The sequence below is a fragment of the Homo sapiens genome, chromosome 11 (genome assembly GCF_000001405.40).
Source record: "Homo sapiens chromosome 11, GRCh38.p14 Primary Assembly".
In the NCBI taxonomy this organism is placed as follows: Eukaryota; Metazoa; Chordata; class Mammalia; order Primates; family Hominidae; genus Homo; species Homo sapiens.
The window spans coordinates 75,422,362-75,437,950 of record NC_000011.10 but is presented as its reverse complement, the minus strand read 5'-3'; the positions used below and the strand labels follow the sequence as shown (position 1 = coordinate 75,437,950).

Sequence of the window (15,589 nt, the reverse complement as noted above, 5' to 3'; positions counted from 1 at the left end):
GTTCCCAAGTTGATCACCCCCTCCTCCTGGTGGGGACAGGGGTGAGAGTCCAGTGATCCTTCTGCCTAGATCCCAGGAAAGGTCTAAGTTCAGAGGCCAGGGACTGGGGCTAGTTCAGAGGAATGACAATAGTGAAGACAGTGGCCTGGGCTGGGCACAGAAACCTGAGTCCTTTCCACTTAGTGCCTGGTCCCTTCATGCCCTGTGCATGCTCCACCTCCCAGCCCACTCTTGAGTAATTTTACCCCCACCTTGCACCTGTCTCAGCCATCAGAGGGATTCATGCTCTGACCTCCCTCCGCATTAGGACTGCCAGGACAGAGCAGCAGTTGGCCCCACTCCAAGTCACTCTAACCCCCTTGCCTTGGGAACCTGTGCAGACCAGCTCTGGGCAAAGCCCCCTACCACCTGGCCCCACCCCCCTGCTTTCCTTCCCTCCCTCTCAAGGGGTCTCCCCAATGGCTTCACTTAGTCTGGTCATGATGGTGGAGCTATAAGAGACATCAGCTGGGACTCCCTGAGATTGGTGTGTGCCCCAGCTTAGGTCAACAGAGTCGTGCCTACTAAGCTCCTCCTGCTCCCAAATCTGTCCCATTCAAAGAGAGCCAGGTGCATTACTGGGGACACCTGAGACAGAACTAACCAACCCTAGTCCTGGGCCAGGGCTGCTGACTGGCGGCTCTGGAGGTAAGAGGGAGGCCAGGGAGCCCTGGCCGAGAGTCAGTAGGCTCTGATTCAAGCCCCAACTCTGCCCTCTCTGGGCCTATTTCCCCATTGTACAGTGGGACAAGAGTCCTGCTGGTCTCTTGGGCCACATCCAGAGAGGCTCTGGAAGTAGGCAGGGTCTCTGCTCCAAGGGAGGGCTGAGGAGAGACCTGATGCCCACGGGGCCATCTCTGCAGGTGGCGCCTGGGTGGCATACGGAGCTACAACCCTGAGCAGATCATGCTGAGTGCTGCGGTGCGCCGGACCAGCCGGGACGTCAGCATCATGAAGGAGAAGCTTATTTTCTCAGGTACACAGCCCTGCAGACAGGTGGAGGCAGGCCCTGGGCCCAGCTTTCTGCACCCCCACATGCAAACAGATGTGTATGCACACACATTCACATGTGGCACATATGGGTAGGGACAAGGGCACAGACGTACATAAACCCACCGGGATTATACCCACAGACATACAAAGGCATAAGTACACGTGTGAAAACACACACCCCCACACACACAGTCATCCACCCTGTCATCCACCATGGCTTGGTGTCAGTGCCATGGTTGGTGGGCAGGGGTGGGGTAGGGAGAGGAGTCTGTTTTGAAGGCCCATCCCCCTTTGCCTGGTTCGTACTTGGATCCTACAATGTTGGCCTCACCCTTGCTCTTTGCCAGTCCCTGTCAACATTCCCAGTCTGATGGAAGCAGCAGCTACGTATATAAACAGTGGCAGGGAAAGTCGAGTTCCTGCGATGGGAGTGCCGGGCGGGGGGCGGGAGGACGTGGTCAGAGCTGCCTGGGCAGTGAGGAAGGCTTTGGGCGCCTGATACACTGAGATGGGGAGGATGCAGAGGAGGTGCTTTGGTAATGGCTTCAAGATGAGGGCCGAGTGAGCTGAGGGAAGGAAGGGCATTCCAGGTGGGCACGGCATGTGTGCAGAGGTGGCAAGGGAGCACCGCTTGCCTGGGCACCAAGAATGAAGTGTCCCTCTATATGGCCGAACTCCACTCAGCAGAGCTTTCTTGAGCCTCTGCTCTGTGTCCAGCACTCTACCAGGCCCTGGGGACATAGATGCCCAGAACCCACCCTGGTCCTTGAGGTATTTTGGGGGCCCAGGCAGCAACCATACAGAATATGGCCAGGGCAGAAGGAAGCAGGGTCTGGAGTTGCCATGAGGAGGCCCTAACTCGGCCCAGGGCTCCGATGAGGTTCCCAGGAGGCTGAGTGACAGATGAGAAGACTTGAGCCAGACTGTAGGAAAAGGAGGTGTTGTTGGGGCAGTCACTCCTAAGAGAGGGGCTGACACATGCAAAGGCCCTGAGGAGAGTGGACACATGGGTGCCAAGCTCAGGGGCACAGGTGGTTTTCTGTGGCTGCAGAGTCCCAGGGGACAGCAGATGAAGGCGAAGCTAGAGTGCTCAGCAGACACCAAAGGGGCCTTGAGTGCCAGGCTCAATGTCGACCTGAGCCCAGTGGTTTCATCAGCCTCCAAGTGCCCCGCTGGGTGGTGCAGCCTTCCTGCCCCATCTGTCACCCATCCTCACGACTGCCTCCTCCCCGACTCACATTCTGTCTCCCTCTGGCCCAGCAGAGATCAGCGATGGTGTAGAGGTCTCCGATGTGCTCTCCGTATGTTCAGACAACAGTTATGACACATATGCCAACAGCACCGCCACCCCTGTGGGCCCCCGAGGGGGTGGCAGCCACACCAAGACCCTCATAGAGCGGAGTGGGCGTTAGCTGAAGACATGTCTGTCCCACCTGTACCTGACACAGAAGCTGGGGAGCCTAGGAGAGCTGGTGGAAGTGTGTCTGAACTCGGAGTGCTCTGGGAGCGGGCTCCACAGCCTCCTTGTGGGCTCCAGCCCCTTGTCAGCCGCAGCCTCTCTTGAGGGGGACTCCCTGTCTCCTGAGGCCCAGCTGGGCCAGGACTCCATCCTTTCAGATGCCCCTGCAGGCCTGGGGCTCCTTCTGGGAAGTATGGGGCCTAGGGCTTGGTCCCCCTCTTCTGAGGCCCTCTCCTGTATCCCGACCTGGAAGCTTTGATGGGTCATGGGCCATGCCATACCCCCTGTGGCAATGGAGTGTGTGGATGCTCACCTGTGCCATCTGTCCTCCTGTCTGTGCCAGGAGGCACCTGAGTTCTCTGCTGTTATCCTGCCCCAAGGGCCTGGGCCGAGCCTCTACCTGAAGCAACTCTGCTCTTCCTGTCAGTCTCAAAGCACAAGGAGGTTCAGCCCAGGAGGAAGCCAGCTGCAATGTGGAGACACGTCCTCCTCCCCAACCCACCTCATGCCACCGCCAACCCCCTGCCCCAGGAGCGGGCCTGAGCCACGTCCTCTAGGAGCAGCTGGAGATGGCCAAAAGAGTGAGCTCAGGACTACTGGATCCCATGCCCAGGTGTCCAGCAGACCTCAAGGCAGAAGGGTCACCTAACCCAGGAGTCCACAGACTGATGTGACCTCAGGTTCCCACATCAGTGGCCACAGGGCAGGGCCCACCTGGTAGAAGTGTTCTGGATATGGCCAGGGTGGGTGTGTGGCTAAGTGGGCCTGAACAGAGGGAACCTAGGGCCCTTGGCCAATGTGATTAAAGCTGCCATCTTGATGTGTGTTGTCTCTGAATTGCCAGCAGGAGGGTGGGGACAAGTGCGCTGGGTCTAGGTTTCAGTTCTGACCCTATAATCTGAGGAGGAACCATTCTCAGGAATGAATGGGAAAGTGGCAGAATGGTGCCTCCCCTTCCCTGGGTCCGCCATGGTGCCAGTGGCTGGGAGCCGGTATCCTCATATGGTGGATGGGGAGACAGTCTTGGAGAGGTAAAGTGACCTCCAAAAGCCACACAGCTTAGAACAGGCCAAGCCAGAATCCCATCCAGACTCTGGCCCCAGCGCATATGTGTGCCTCCCATAAGCTAGGAATGACACGCAGAGGGGGAGGGCTCCTGGGTCCAATGTAGGGCTGGGAGTGGGACTGGCAGGTGCCCTCACAGCCACATGAAGGCATTCTGAACCTCCCGGCTATGTTGGGACAAGCCCTCAGCACAGGGAGGCCTCTTCCCCATGCCAGGAGTTTGGCTTTGACTTCTCCGAGCTTTGGACCTGCCTGAGGAGGGCCCATGCCCATGCCCAGGACTGGGGGCACCTGAGCTGAAAGCCAAAGTACAGCCCTGGGACCACAGGTGTCCTTTCCTTCCAGTCCTTGGGACCTCTGCTGTCTGTGGGCAGGAGTCAGTGGTGGTGTCAGAGCAGGCCTGTAACTCCCCTCTTTGTCCTGAGAGTCTGCCTGGTCATGGGTGTGACCTGAGGGAAAAGGGGGAAGCTGAGCCCCAGCTCCAGCCTGCATCAAATTAACTCCATGCTTCCTGGGAGCCAAGGGACGTGTCTCTTCCAAACAGGGATCTTCTGGATAGAATTCTTGGGGTCTAGGAGATTCTGGCACCTTATAGGTAAAAAAGAAAAGAGCCCTCTGCAAATGTTGGAAGCTCCACTGGGCCCCCACAGTAACCTCGAGGACCGGCCCTCCTGCCCCTGCTACTGAATGTCTGGCAAGTGCTCTGCTTCCTGGGGCAGAGGTCAGCTCCCGCCTCTCCCTGAGCTCAAGGGAATGAGACTCAGAGCCACTGTGCCCCCCGCCCCACATGCTTAGTCACATTGGCATCTACATGGTCACACAGCCACATGTCCACACGCAGCCCAATGCTACACAGTCACTTCATTCCATGTACTTCCACAATCACGCATAGTCACCCTGAAACCTACATGCCTACAACTGCATGATGACACCCCTCCCACACCCCAACTCCAGCACCACACACCTTCGAACCCATCGTCATTCCGGGACAAGGCCAGCACCAGGTCACCCCCAAACCCAGGCATACCAAATCCTGGAGTTCCACACACAGTCAATCCCACTCTTATGCCCCCCCTTTCTTTCCCTCCCTCCCAGGGCTAGTCCAAGAGTGGAACAAAAGCCCAGCATCCCCCTCCCTGCTCGCTTCTCCCTTCCCCTCCCTTCCCCTCCCTCCTGGCGTCCAGCCCCTTTGTCCTCCCGCAGCTGAGCCCGAGCGAACAGCAAACGGGAGTCTGGGCAGAGCAGCATGAACACTGGAGCTTGGGCTGCCAGGGGTGCGGGCGGCAGGCACAAACGGGAGTGATACCTGTGAGAGCAGCAGCTGCGGAGCACTTGGGAGAGGGTATGGCCAGGTAAGTGCCAGGTGCATGGGGCAAGGCTTAGGCTGCAGGGCTGACCCGGCTGCGTGGTGTCCGCAAGTCTGAGATGGGGAGGATGCGGAGGAGGTGCTTGGGTAATGGCTTCAAGTGGATGTGGGTGTGTAAAAGAGTGATGGTGGCATGTTCGAGTCAGCTTCTATAGGCTGGGCCCTTCAATCTGCATCATGACCCCTGGCTTGAAGTGCCTAGACTCAGCCGAGAAGGGAGGATACCCATTGAGCCCTACCTGGGAATTTTTACCTTCTGTGTTCCAACTGGGTGTCGTTTGACCCCCAGACTGGGGATCCCCAGAGTGAATGCTGGATCTGATGTCACTGTGTGTCCAGAGTGCCCAGCGCAGTAGACAGTAAAATGAAAAAGTACTGACACACTTCCTAGGAGGGGACTCTTTCTCCCCCAGGGAGCTGCTTGTGCTGTGGGGCACCTTTGCAAGAAGTCCATCCTTATGCTGATGAGACCTGCCCTCTTGAGTCTCAACTCAGAGCATGGTTGTGCTTTCTGAGCCAGTGGAGGACAGACTGGTTGCAGCGTGCTGTGATGACCGGTCTCACTTCCTTCCACCGGTCCTGGCTGCTCCTTGGGACACACCCCCACCCTGGCAAGTGTGGCATGCAAACCCTGGAGCCAGGTGGATTCAGGATCCAGTCGCTCTACTTGGGCAAAAGTAGTTAACTTTCTTGCCCACCAGGGAGCTCATCTCTCATGATGCTGACCAGGGGATCCGCTGCCCTGGATGACCAGGGCATGAAAGCCAGGCTGACACTAGGCGGGATCTGACCTCCAGAGGCAGCAGAGCAGCTGGGAGCAGGAGGATGGAAGGAGAGGCAGGGCGCAGAGGGTGGACCTGAGCCCCCTAGAGTAAGCTGATGGAAAGGAGGGAGCTCCCTGTCCCTGGAGGTGTGCAAGCAGAGGTTTTGTGTTCATAATGGCCAAATCATAACCAGCATGGCCCAGCCCCTCAGTCTGCAGAGCGCCTTCACAAACACCCCTCTGCTGAGCCTCGCCGCAAACTTCTGAAGGGCGGGTGTCCTGTGTGTGCTTGTTTCCCTTATGACAAACTAAAGGGGCAGGTGTGGGCTAAAGAAACTTCTCAGCTTGTGAGGATGAAATTAAATTATGTCTATAAAAGCAACTGGCACACACAGTGTCCTCCCTTCCTCTTGAGTAAAAGCAATATAGGGAAACACCCATGTAGCTCGTACTGTGTACTAGCACTTTTCATACAGCCCATGTAATAGTCATGAAGCCACAGCCCTGTGAGGTAGGGATGATGATCCCATTTCAGATGAGATAACTGAGGCCAGGGCGGGCAGGTGAGAGGAGTGACTTGCCCCGGCCACACCGTAAGCCTGTGGCAGGCACTGGGTTAGAATCCCCATTTGTCCCTAGAGTTCTTTCCACTTTCTGACGGTGCTACCTGGAGAACACCAAGAGAACTCACTAGAGAGAGGGCCAGCTTCCCTCAGCCTGGGCTCTAACCTTTCAGAATTCGCCCATCCTTCTCAGCTGGAAGGTTCCCCTCAGGGACGCCCTCCCTGACTCCCCTCCACCTGGGTCCAGCGGCCCTTCTATGAACTCCCCTAACACCCGGTGCCTCCCCATGGCACCCCCGCCAGGCTGGGAGCTCCGGGCACACCGTAACTATGGTTGTCTTGCTCACTGCCTGGCACAGAAAGGGCTCCCAATAAATACTTGTCGAATTCGTTTGCGCGAAAGCTGTGTGTATGATGCTGTCTGTCAGGGGAGTGCTCAGGGTGTGGTCAGTGTCCAGCACCTACCGGAGATCGGCAGGAGACAGGCTGGATTGAGCAGAGGGCGGTGGAGTTATTGTACCCTCTCTCCCCTGCACATGCACACACTGGGTCTCTGTGGGGCAGCCTGAGTCCCTTGACCCAGGGCTTCAGCTCCTGTCACGGGACCCTCCTTACACAGATATATTTCCAGGTTCCAGTAACTTCCCTGCTCTCCCGCTACAGACCCCGGGGCGGCCAAGGCGCCCTGCTGTTAGTATCCTGGGACACAGCCCTACTCCTACTGGAGTCCCTAACGCCTACTCCGCTGTTGAAAATAGTTCCTTTATTAGACCCTCCTCCGATTACCCTGTTTGAGAGCGTGCCATCTGTTACCTGCAGATATCGATAGGAAAACGCTTAGCAAGTTTGAAGAACCGAAAAGGGCACTGTGTCTGAGTGGGTAGGCAGGGCAGAATGTCGCGCTGGTGAGGCGGGGCTGGGGCACTGTAGCCGTAAGGAACCTGGATGCTGAACGGAGGGGAGAGTCGCTGAACAAATGGTCAAGAGAGGAAATAAACGGATGAGGGCTGTCGCCTCTCCCGGGCGCAGCCAGGTGGCTTCCCCGACGCTGTTTGTGTTCTCTCCCCGGCAGGATGCGGCAAGGCCATGCGCCGGAGGAGTCGGAGCCGGGCTGCGAAGCGCCGTGCGCGGGTCCGTGCCACGCGCAGCGCGTGCTGCAGGCCCTGAACGCCTACCGGCGGAGCGGCACCCTCACCGACGTGGTGCTGCGCGCCGGCGGGCGCGACTTTCCGTGCCACCGCGCGGCGCTCAGCGCGGGCAGCGCCTACTTCCGCAGCTTGTTCGCGGCCGGGCGGCCCGAGCGCGGCCCGGCCGTGGTGCCAGTGGTGCCAGTAGCTCCCGAGGCGCCAGGCACGAGCCCGGCCGGGGCGGCGGCGGCGCTGGCCGTGGTGCTCGACTACGTGTACGGAGCGGGCGTGCGGCTGCGCGCGGAGGACGAGGCGGCGGCCGTGCTGGCGCTGGCGGAGCGGCTGGGCGTGGCGGGCCTGCGCGAGGCCTGCGTGCGCTTTCTCGAGGGCCGCCTGCGCGCCGCCAACAGCCTAGCGCTGCGCCGCGTGGCCGCCGCCTTCTCGCTGGCCCCGCTGGCCGAGCGCTGCGGCCGCGTCCTGCGTCAGGCCTTCGCCGAGGTGGCGCGCCACGCCGACTTCCTGGAGCTGGCGCCTGACGAGGTGGTGGCGCTGCTGGCGGACCCCGCGCTGGGCGTGGCGCGCGAGGAGGCCGTGTTTGAAGCGGCCATGCGCTGGGTGCGCCACGACGCGCCGGCCCGCCGCGGCCAGCTGCGACGCCTGCTGGAGCACGTGCGCCTGCCGCTACTGGCGCCCGCTTACTTCCTGGAGAAGGTGGAGGCGGACGAGCTGCTGCAGGCCTGCGGCGAGTGCCGCCCGCTGCTGCTCGAGGCTCGCGCCTGCTTCATCCTGGGCCGCGAGGCCGGTGCGCTGCGGACCCGGCCGCGGAGGTAGGGCCGCCATCCCCTAGCTTCCCGCCCTCCGTTCTTCCCGCCTGCTTCCACCGCTCATTCATTCTTTCATCATCTTTTAGTACTGCCTCTTGATGATATTCAGTCATTCGTTCAACATTTTAGAGGCTCGGTGCCCATAATTCTGCCCTTGAAGAGTTAACAAGCCAGTGAGGGAGATGCAGAGACCCCACAGCTGCGCACACTCTCTTTGGCCCATGCAACCGTAATTCCGAGTACTTACTACTCTACGCAAGTTCTGTGCAGGGTGCCGGGATGCGGAAGTGATTTGAAAACACTCTTTGCCCTCTGGGAGCTCGCAGTCTAATGAGGGATAGAAATAGGCAGGGGCATGGGGAAGTAGTGAAAGCAGCCTGCCCCACCTTTGGAAAGCCAGACTGGGAGGCTCTGGGCAGAGTAGCCCTTAATCATGCCCCCAGAGACGACACTCTCTCTAACACTAAGCACAGGGCCTGGGACAGAGATCCTCAAATATGTGCCAAAGGAATTAGAAAACCAATGGCTAAAAGGGTATGGAAATTCTGGTGGCGTCAGATGGTGGGGTCAGTGAGAGGGAAGAATGATTTACTGAAAGGGTGAGTTATCCGGCTTAATGGAATTAGGGATGAGGGGATGTCATAGGAGGAGGGAGGCAGCAGAATCAGCGGTTGGAGGTGAGAAAAGGGTGTTGAAGATGAGTTAGCGACAGACAAACCTGGGCTTGAATTCCAGCTCTGACGCTTAATGGCTTTGGGCACGCCATGGTATGTGAGCCTCAGTTTCCTCCCCTGAGAAAGGGGTAATAATCCCTACTAATAGAACTGCCATACAGATTAAACGAGGTGATTTTTCTAGGTGAGGGCAAGGGCTCTGTAAAGATTTTTTTTTCTGTAGTTTAGAGGTCAGCAGAATGCGGTAAGCATTAGCGATTCTCTTCCCAGTACCCACAGGCAAAGTTGGAAGTGGCAGGGTCTAGCGGGATTGAGGCCGGGGGATCGGGTGGGCGGGGGTGATGGCAGAAACGCATGAAAGGGCAGCGGGACCGTGCAGTGTGGTCGAGAGGGTAAGAGAGGGCCGAACTTGGGTGCGGCCCAACAGGCACTGGGCTTATCCGCACGCCAGATTCATGGACCTAGCTGAAGTGATCGTGGTCATCGGCGGTTGCGACCGCAAAGGTCTCCTGAAGCTGCCCTTCGCCGATGCCTACCATCCAGAGAGCCAGCGGTGGACCCCACTGCCCAGCCTGCCCGGCTACACTCGCTCAGAATTCGCCGCCTGTGCTCTCCGCAATGACGTCTACGTCTCCGGTGAGGGCGGAGCCGCAACGGGAGCTCACACGGGATTGACTAGTAGCCTCCGCACTCCACCCCCTTTGCTTTTCCCTCCAATCGGGAGAGAGGGGCGGGATGTTTTCTGATAACCTACAGTTATTGGCTGAAGTGAGCAGGGCTAACTACGCGTGTGACCCGCCCTTTATTCAGGAATGTTAACTTCAATACATATGATTACTTTTTGTTCTGAACCGGCTTCCTAAGGAAGTCAATTCGTATTAGTATTAATAATCACTTCAACTAGCCTACTATGTGCCGAACATTATGCTAAGAAGCTTACATTCGTTATCATTAAATCCCCCTACAATGCTGTTTTACAGATAAGAAAGGCTCGGAGAGGCTCAGAATTTCCCCCATTGTCTCAAAAATGGCAAAGCTAGGAGGAACACACATCTGTTTGATACCAACAAACTGTGTCCTCCCTAAGGCTCAAGCCCTAAAGACTCAGAGAAGCATAAAACACAGTCCTTGCTCCCCTGGAGTGTCCTGGAGAGGAGAGAGACTTCACTTTTACTGCCAGGCAGAATGTGATCAGAATTCTCAGAGTCCCCAGATGATCTGGAATGCCACTCAGGGAATCTAGCCAGGGTTCATAGAAGAGATGACTTTTCAGCTGGACCTTGAAAGTTGGAGGGAACAGTATGGGCAAAGGCACAAGGGCAGGGACATGCAGAAAGGAACCCTGGGGACTCAGGGCTCTGAAGTGCAGGTTGAGTATCACAGGTGAGGCAGGAGTCAGATCAGGGAGGCTTTGAGTCTGGGGCTAGGTGGATTGACCTTAATGTTGTAAAGAACTATGGGTGCCTGCAAAGAGTAAGGAGCAGGAGAATAAGCCAGGGAGGCCTCACAGACCATCCAGGCCACAGATTACCACTGGACAATTTATCCAAGGCCATTGATGGCTCTGAGCAACATGTGGGGCCTTTGTTGGGTGCCACTAGGAATAAACAAAGATGGGGCTACCAAACAGATGTGGCTCTGGTCACAGGCTCAGGCTGAAGGGTGCAGTTAGGGTTGTCCCCAGGGAGGCTCCCATTGAGAGGTGAATCCCTGGCCAAGATCCCCAGGGTGGCCAGACATGGGAAGGGAGAGTCCACATCCTGCATCCCCAGTACCTGGCCCCATAGGGCATGCCATGTCCTCCAGCAGCACCAATGCTGGGCCTGGAGCCAGAAGCTCTGGTTCTGGCTCTGACAAAAGGCCATGTAGTCTTCAGCAGGTCATTGTTGGTCTCTAAGTCTCATCTGAGTTTCTTATATGTAAACTGGGTCTAATATTCCCAACACCTCATGGAGGGATGAGATCAGAAATGAAATTGTGCAGGTGAAGGCAGAAGGGAGGGAGGGTTATTGGGTCACCCTCTACCTATCCTGGCTCCCAGTGCAGCTGGCTCTGCTTTTCCTGGATCCCCAGTACATTCCAGATGCTTGCCTTAGGTACCCTTTGTACTCTTACCTTTAGTACAGCGGCCCCCTCTTTGCTTTCCTGAGCACAGAGCCTGGCACACCACCACCACCACCACAAGGTGCCCGGCGAAAACCAGCCCCTTCTTCCTGAATGTGTCAGGCTTCTCCCCTCGAGGGTCGTAACTCAGACATTCCCACCACTTATTCAAAGCACACTGGGTCACAGGTCCAGAGTCTTACACCAGCTCAAGAAGTCCTCCTGCTGCCTTCCCTTAACCCTTCCTTTGGATCTGGGGGCCCTAGTTTCTAGCTCTTTGGGGGTGCTTGGGATAGCAAGAGAGCCGATGGGCAACAGCTGCTTCTCTCTCCCTAGGAGGCCACATCAACAGTCATGATGTGTGGATGTTTAGCTCCCATCTGCACACCTGGATCAAGGTAGCCTCTCTGCACAAGGGCAGGTGGAGGCACAAGATGGCAGTTGTGCAGGGGCAGGTAGGCACGAGCTGCAGCGGCTGCCCTGGGACACAAGGTACAGATCTGTGGATGTGCTGGAGGGAGGTTCTCTAAAACCCTCTCTTTGTAAGAAGGGGTCTGAAGCCCCCCAAAAAAGGAGACTTGTCCAAGGTCACATAATAATGGCTGATGCTAATAATAATAGCAATTACTGTAATAGTAACAGCCTGATGGTCAAGGGTATGGGCTCTGGGGCCATAGAGTCTAGGTTTGAATCTTGACTGTGCCACTCAAGAATAAAAGAATCTGTCGGCCGGGCGCAGTGGCTGTAATCCCAGCACTTTGGGAGGCCAAGGCGGGCGGATCACGAGGTCAGGAGATCCAGACCATCCTGGCTAACACGGTGAAACCCCGTCTCTACTAAAAATACAAAAAATTAGCTCGGCGTGGTGGCTGGTGCCTGTAGTCCCAGCTACTCAGGAGGCTGAGGCAGGAGAATGGCATGAACCTGGGAGGCGGAGCTTGCAGTGAGCCCAGATTGCACCACTACACTCCAGCCTGGGCAACAGAGCGAGACTTTGTCTCAAAAAAAAAAAAAAAAGTCAATTATCTTTGTAAGCTACATCCCGAATTCAGAAACAAAGATGCTTCTTAGAATCAATTAAGTGGGGTGGTAAAGTCTCAATACTAGCTATTATTATTAAGCATCAGCTTGGTGCCAGGTATTTTACAGCTGTAACCATGCAGGTTAAGGTCTCATCCCCGCTAAATGAGAGGAAACCGGCTCAGGGAGGTACAGCAACTGGGTGGAGGCTGCCCAGGTGGTGGCAGCACTGGGCTCGGGGGTCAGTTTGGTCCTGAAACTGGGTTGGGGACAGGGATAGTTTCCAGCTCAAAGACTGTAAGGACTGAAGCGATGAGGCCGAGGGCCCTAAGGCCCTGGCACCCGGCTCCCCGGCCCATGTCCTCACTTGCAGCTGTTCGCGGTGGGTGGCTTCGACGGCCTGAGGCGCCTGCACAGCGTGGAGCGCTACGACCCCTTCTCCAACACCTGGGCGGCCGCCGCGCCCCTCCCGGAGGCCGTGAGCTCGGCGGCGGTGGCGTCCTGCGCGGGCAAGCTCTTCGTGATTGGGGGCGCCAGGCAGGGCGGCGTCAACACGGACAAGGTGGGCGTGGGCCTCAGGCGCGAGAGGGCGTTGAAGGCTGGGGTGCCCACTGTGTGCCAGGCGCAGAATTGGGCGTTTCCATGCCCTTGTCCATTTATTCACTTAATCCCATCAACAGCCCAGACCAGTCACCTCCATGTTTCAGGGAAGGAAATGAGCAGAAAAATGACCCCAAGGTCACACAGTGGGTCAGCAGCACACTGGGACTCAAATGTTTGGGCTGGTGCCATGTAAGTTTCATACATTTTAAAAATTGAGGGCAAGATAGTTAAAATGCTTTTGTTCCATTCCAAAAACAATACACTTACTACTGAAAATTTAGAAAACACAGAAAAATAGAAAAAAAAAAAACCCATAATCCCACCGTCTAGGCAGAGCTGCTATTCATATTTTGGTGTGTTGCCTTACAGGCTTCCACTGAATTGATTTTTGTTTTTCTTACAGTTTTGTTTTGTTAGAATTTTGCATTCTGCATTTTATTCTAATTTAGGTATGAGCATTTTCCACGTGATTATCAACTTTACAGCCATCATTTCAATGTCTGTACTATTCCACATGGTGGATGAACTAGAGTCTACTCATCTTTTATTGTTGGGACATTTAGGCTTTTTGCAAATAAAAATATTTATCATAGCAGTTCCTTCCCTCCCCTGATGGCCTCATAAGCCTGTGGTCCTAGGACTTGACTCTTTCCCAAATTAGGGTGCCCACGCTTCCTTATTCCCTGACCACATTCTTCCAGCAAACCCTCCTGGAGCTGAGTGATAGGCACTCATGGTGGGAGGCCCCATTTAACACCATCCATGCAGCACTGATTTGTTATAGGCTGCTGTGGGGGGAGGGGGTCTCCAAGGAAACAGTTGAGGAAACAGAGAGTGAGGTGAGCAGGCAGCTAAATACAGAAACTGTTAAGGGCATCAGAAACACCCATGGGCATGTGGACAGCTGTAGAAATAGGGCTGCAAGACACCTCAGCTAGAATCTAATGACCTGAGAGCACCAGGAAAAGAGAAGGGAGTTGACAGTGTATGCAGCTAGGAACACATCCCCGTCGGGGGTCTGCTCTGAGGACCCTCTATAACCCTAAAGCAGACAGTACCTCTCCCAGCTCAGTATGATGTGCTCTATGATTAATCTAACATGAGGCGACTGTGTTCTCCATCAAAGGAGAGACTGTTCCTGTGTGTGTGTGTTGAGGGGTGAGGGGAGGGGGGAACACCAGGGAGACCTTTAAGGATGGGGTGGCATTTGAGCAGGACCTCGAAAGATGAGGAGGCTTTTGACAAAGGGAGTCCAGAGGCAGAGGACAGAACATAGAACTAGATGAAGAGCCCTTGAGGGCAGGGACGGTGGACCTCCCCCTCCCTCCCAGATGCTGGCTCAGGCCTGGTGGACACTGGCAAATGTCGTTTTGAATGAGTGCCCCCGGGGGGAGAGGTGGCAGCATGTGGGCGGTGGGGCATTTGTTGGGGGGGGCGGTGAGTCTTCACCACTGCTGCTCTTGCCCCTCAGGTGCAGTGCTTTGACCCCAAGGAGGACCGGTGGAGCCTGCGGTCACCAGCACCCTTCTCACAGCGGTGTCTCGAGGCTGTCTCCCTTGAGGACACCATCTATGTCATGGGGGGTCTCATGAGCAAAATCTTCACCTATGATCCAGGCACAGATGTGTGGGGGGAGGCAGCTGTCCTCCCCAGCCCTGTGGTAAGTGGAGGCTTCAAGGCAGGAGAGCGGAACCCGCTTCTAAGGCTCTGGATCTTGGAGCTTGTGAATCTTGTGACTCCATCCTAGGTGGTTTTATTATACATCACTCTCTAGCTCATCCTCACAGTGATAGTGAACCATGCATTTCACAGATGAGGAGACTGGCCTTAGAGAGGTTCAGCACCTGGCCCAGGCCAACAACTAGGCCCTGTTAAGGCAGAGCCTAGAACCCTGCAGTCCCAAGTGCTATAGCTTTGAGTGGGGATTTGGTCCAAATGACCCTGTGGTCTCTCCTGCCCCGAAGGCCACTGCTAGTAACCAATCATGAGGTAAGATGTGGGGAAGGGAGTTGCTAAGGTCTGCTCTAGTGATATCAGAGCAGGGAGGCCCAAGTCCTGGAAGCTCTGGCCCCTGCAATTCCCTGCCTCCCCTACCTTCTTCTCCATCCCCTGAAACTCCAGAGACTACACAGATATGGTTGGACTGGAGGTCTCTGCCAGTTCTGACCTTTGGTGACCTTAGAGGTGAGATTTCTGGCTTGAGTCTGAGATTCTAAGATGGCGGCAGTCGAGATTATTGTTATTGGTGTGCTTACCACATTCCAGGCTCTATGTAAAATGCTTTATATGCTTAACTTCCATTAACTGTTAAGGGAACCCTGTGAAGAAGGCACTTTAGTTCTTCTCCCTTTGCCGATGAGGAAACTGAGGTCCAGAGAGGTTAAGTGACTTGCCTAACGCCATTCACTGAATAAGGGTCAAGCTAGAGCTGGAACTCAGGTCCATCCAGTTTCCTGCCTCTCTACAGTCCAGATTGCCTGTTCACAGTCTGTGGGTCAAGGTTCTATTATCTGGCCTGGCCAGGCAGGGACAGAGGAAGCCCCAGGCTGGACCTGATAGTTGTCTTTCTGTTTGTCCACCCAGGAAAGCTGTGGAGTCACTGTGTGTGACGGGAAGGTCCACATCCTTGGCGGGCGGGATGATCGCGGAGAAAGCACCGATAAGGTCTTCACCTTTGACCCCAGCAGTGGGCAGGTGGAGGTCCAGCCATCCCTGCAGCGCTGCACCAGCTCCCACGGCTGTGTCACCATCATCCAGAGCTTGGGCAGGTGATTCAGATTTGGACAGCCTGAGCCAGGAGGCGGAGAGGCAGGCGGAGCTCAGATGCACACTCTGCTCCCTCATGGCACCTCCACGCAAACAGCCCTTAACTTAATGGTCCCTTTTCTTGTATAAATAAAATCTTGTTGGGTCTGTGTTCCAGCTGCAGTCTGCCCTGCCTGGAGATGGAATGTCTAATATTTGCTCCCTGTGTTTACTCTTGATGAAGC

General features: G+C 56.0%; 2 protein-coding genes across 21 annotated transcripts in view, besides 6 other annotated features; both read left to right on the top strand.

Moving 5' to 3' along the window:
* GDPD5 (glycerophosphodiester phosphodiesterase domain containing 5) overlaps window positions 1-3,311 on the top strand; it is a 91,302-nt gene extending 87,991 nt beyond the window's left edge. For 11 of the 20 annotated variants that reach the window (XM_047427654.1, XM_047427653.1, XM_047427649.1 and 8 more), the window contains 2 exon segments: window positions 903-1,015; window positions 2,296-3,311. In XM_047427654.1, coding sequence (XP_047283610.1) covers window positions 903-1,015; window positions 2,296-2,444 — 262 coding nt within the window. In that variant the 3' untranslated portion in view covers window positions 2,445-3,311. 20 annotated transcript variants of the gene reach the window in all.
* Window positions 3,312-4,747: 1,436 nt separating this feature from the next.
* Window positions 4,748-15,557, top strand: KLHL35 (kelch like family member 35). Its single transcript, NM_001039548.3, has 7 exons — window positions 4,748-4,908; window positions 7,321-8,202; window positions 9,325-9,509; window positions 11,313-11,431; window positions 12,370-12,558; window positions 14,071-14,259; window positions 15,183-15,557. Exons 2-7 carry the CDS (start codon window positions 7,322-7,324, stop codon window positions 15,369-15,371), a joined length of 1,752 nt encoding a protein of 583 aa, NP_001034637.2. The 5' UTR covers window positions 4,748-4,908; window position 7,321; the 3' UTR covers window positions 15,372-15,557.
* Window positions 5,224-6,110: an enhancer, noted in NCBI's record as "H3K4me1 hESC enhancer chr11:75142886-75143772 (GRCh37/hg19 assembly coordinates)". NCBI's record gives its function as "activates a minimal SCP1, AML or CMV promoter by ChIP-STARR-seq in primed H9 embryonic stem cells {active_cell/tissue: H9 hESC(primed)}" and the evidence as "EXISTENCE:reporter gene assay evidence [ECO:0000049][PMID:30033119]".
* Window positions 7,399-7,638: a silencer, noted in NCBI's record as "silent region_3765". NCBI's record gives its function as "represses an Ori minimal core promoter by ATAC-STARR-seq in GM12878 lymphoblastoid cells {active_cell/tissue: GM12878}" and the evidence as "EXISTENCE:reporter gene assay evidence [ECO:0000049][PMID:35858748]".
* Window positions 7,719-7,768: a silencer, noted in NCBI's record as "silent region_3764". NCBI's record gives its function as "represses an Ori minimal core promoter by ATAC-STARR-seq in GM12878 lymphoblastoid cells {active_cell/tissue: GM12878}" and the evidence as "EXISTENCE:reporter gene assay evidence [ECO:0000049][PMID:35858748]".
* Window positions 9,433-9,727: an enhancer, noted in NCBI's record as "tiled region #6111; HepG2 Activating DNase unmatched - State 4:PromP, and K562 Activating DNase unmatched - State 8:EnhW". NCBI's record gives its function as "activates a minimal TATA promoter and a strong SV40 promoter by Sharpr-MPRA in HepG2 and K562 cells {active_cell/tissue: HepG2 | K562}" and the evidence as "EXISTENCE:reporter gene assay evidence [ECO:0000049][PMID:27701403]".
* Window positions 9,433-9,747: a biological region, named in NCBI's record as "Sharpr-MPRA regulatory regions 6111 and 12908".
* Window positions 9,453-9,747: an enhancer, noted in NCBI's record as "tiled region #12908; HepG2 Activating DNase unmatched - State 4:PromP, and K562 Activating DNase matched - State 8:EnhW". NCBI's record gives its function as "activates a minimal TATA promoter and a strong SV40 promoter by Sharpr-MPRA in HepG2 and K562 cells {active_cell/tissue: HepG2 | K562}" and the evidence as "EXISTENCE:reporter gene assay evidence [ECO:0000049][PMID:27701403]".
* Window positions 15,558-15,589: the final 32 nt, after the last annotated feature.

Bases quoted from the DNA above. Each gene is read 5' to 3' on its own strand.
- KLHL35 (NM_001039548.3), top strand. From the start codon at position 7,322: ATGCGGCAAGGCCATGCGCCGGAGGAGTCGGAGCCGGGCTGCGAAGCG. The intron at 9,510-11,312 runs GTGAGGGCGGAG...CTCTCTCCCTAG, and splicing joins CAATGACGTCTACGTCTCCG to GAGGCCACATCAACAGTCAT. The intron at 12,559-14,070 runs GTGGGCGTGGGC...CTTGCCCCTCAG, and splicing joins GCGGCGTCAACACGGACAAG to GTGCAGTGCTTTGACCCCAA.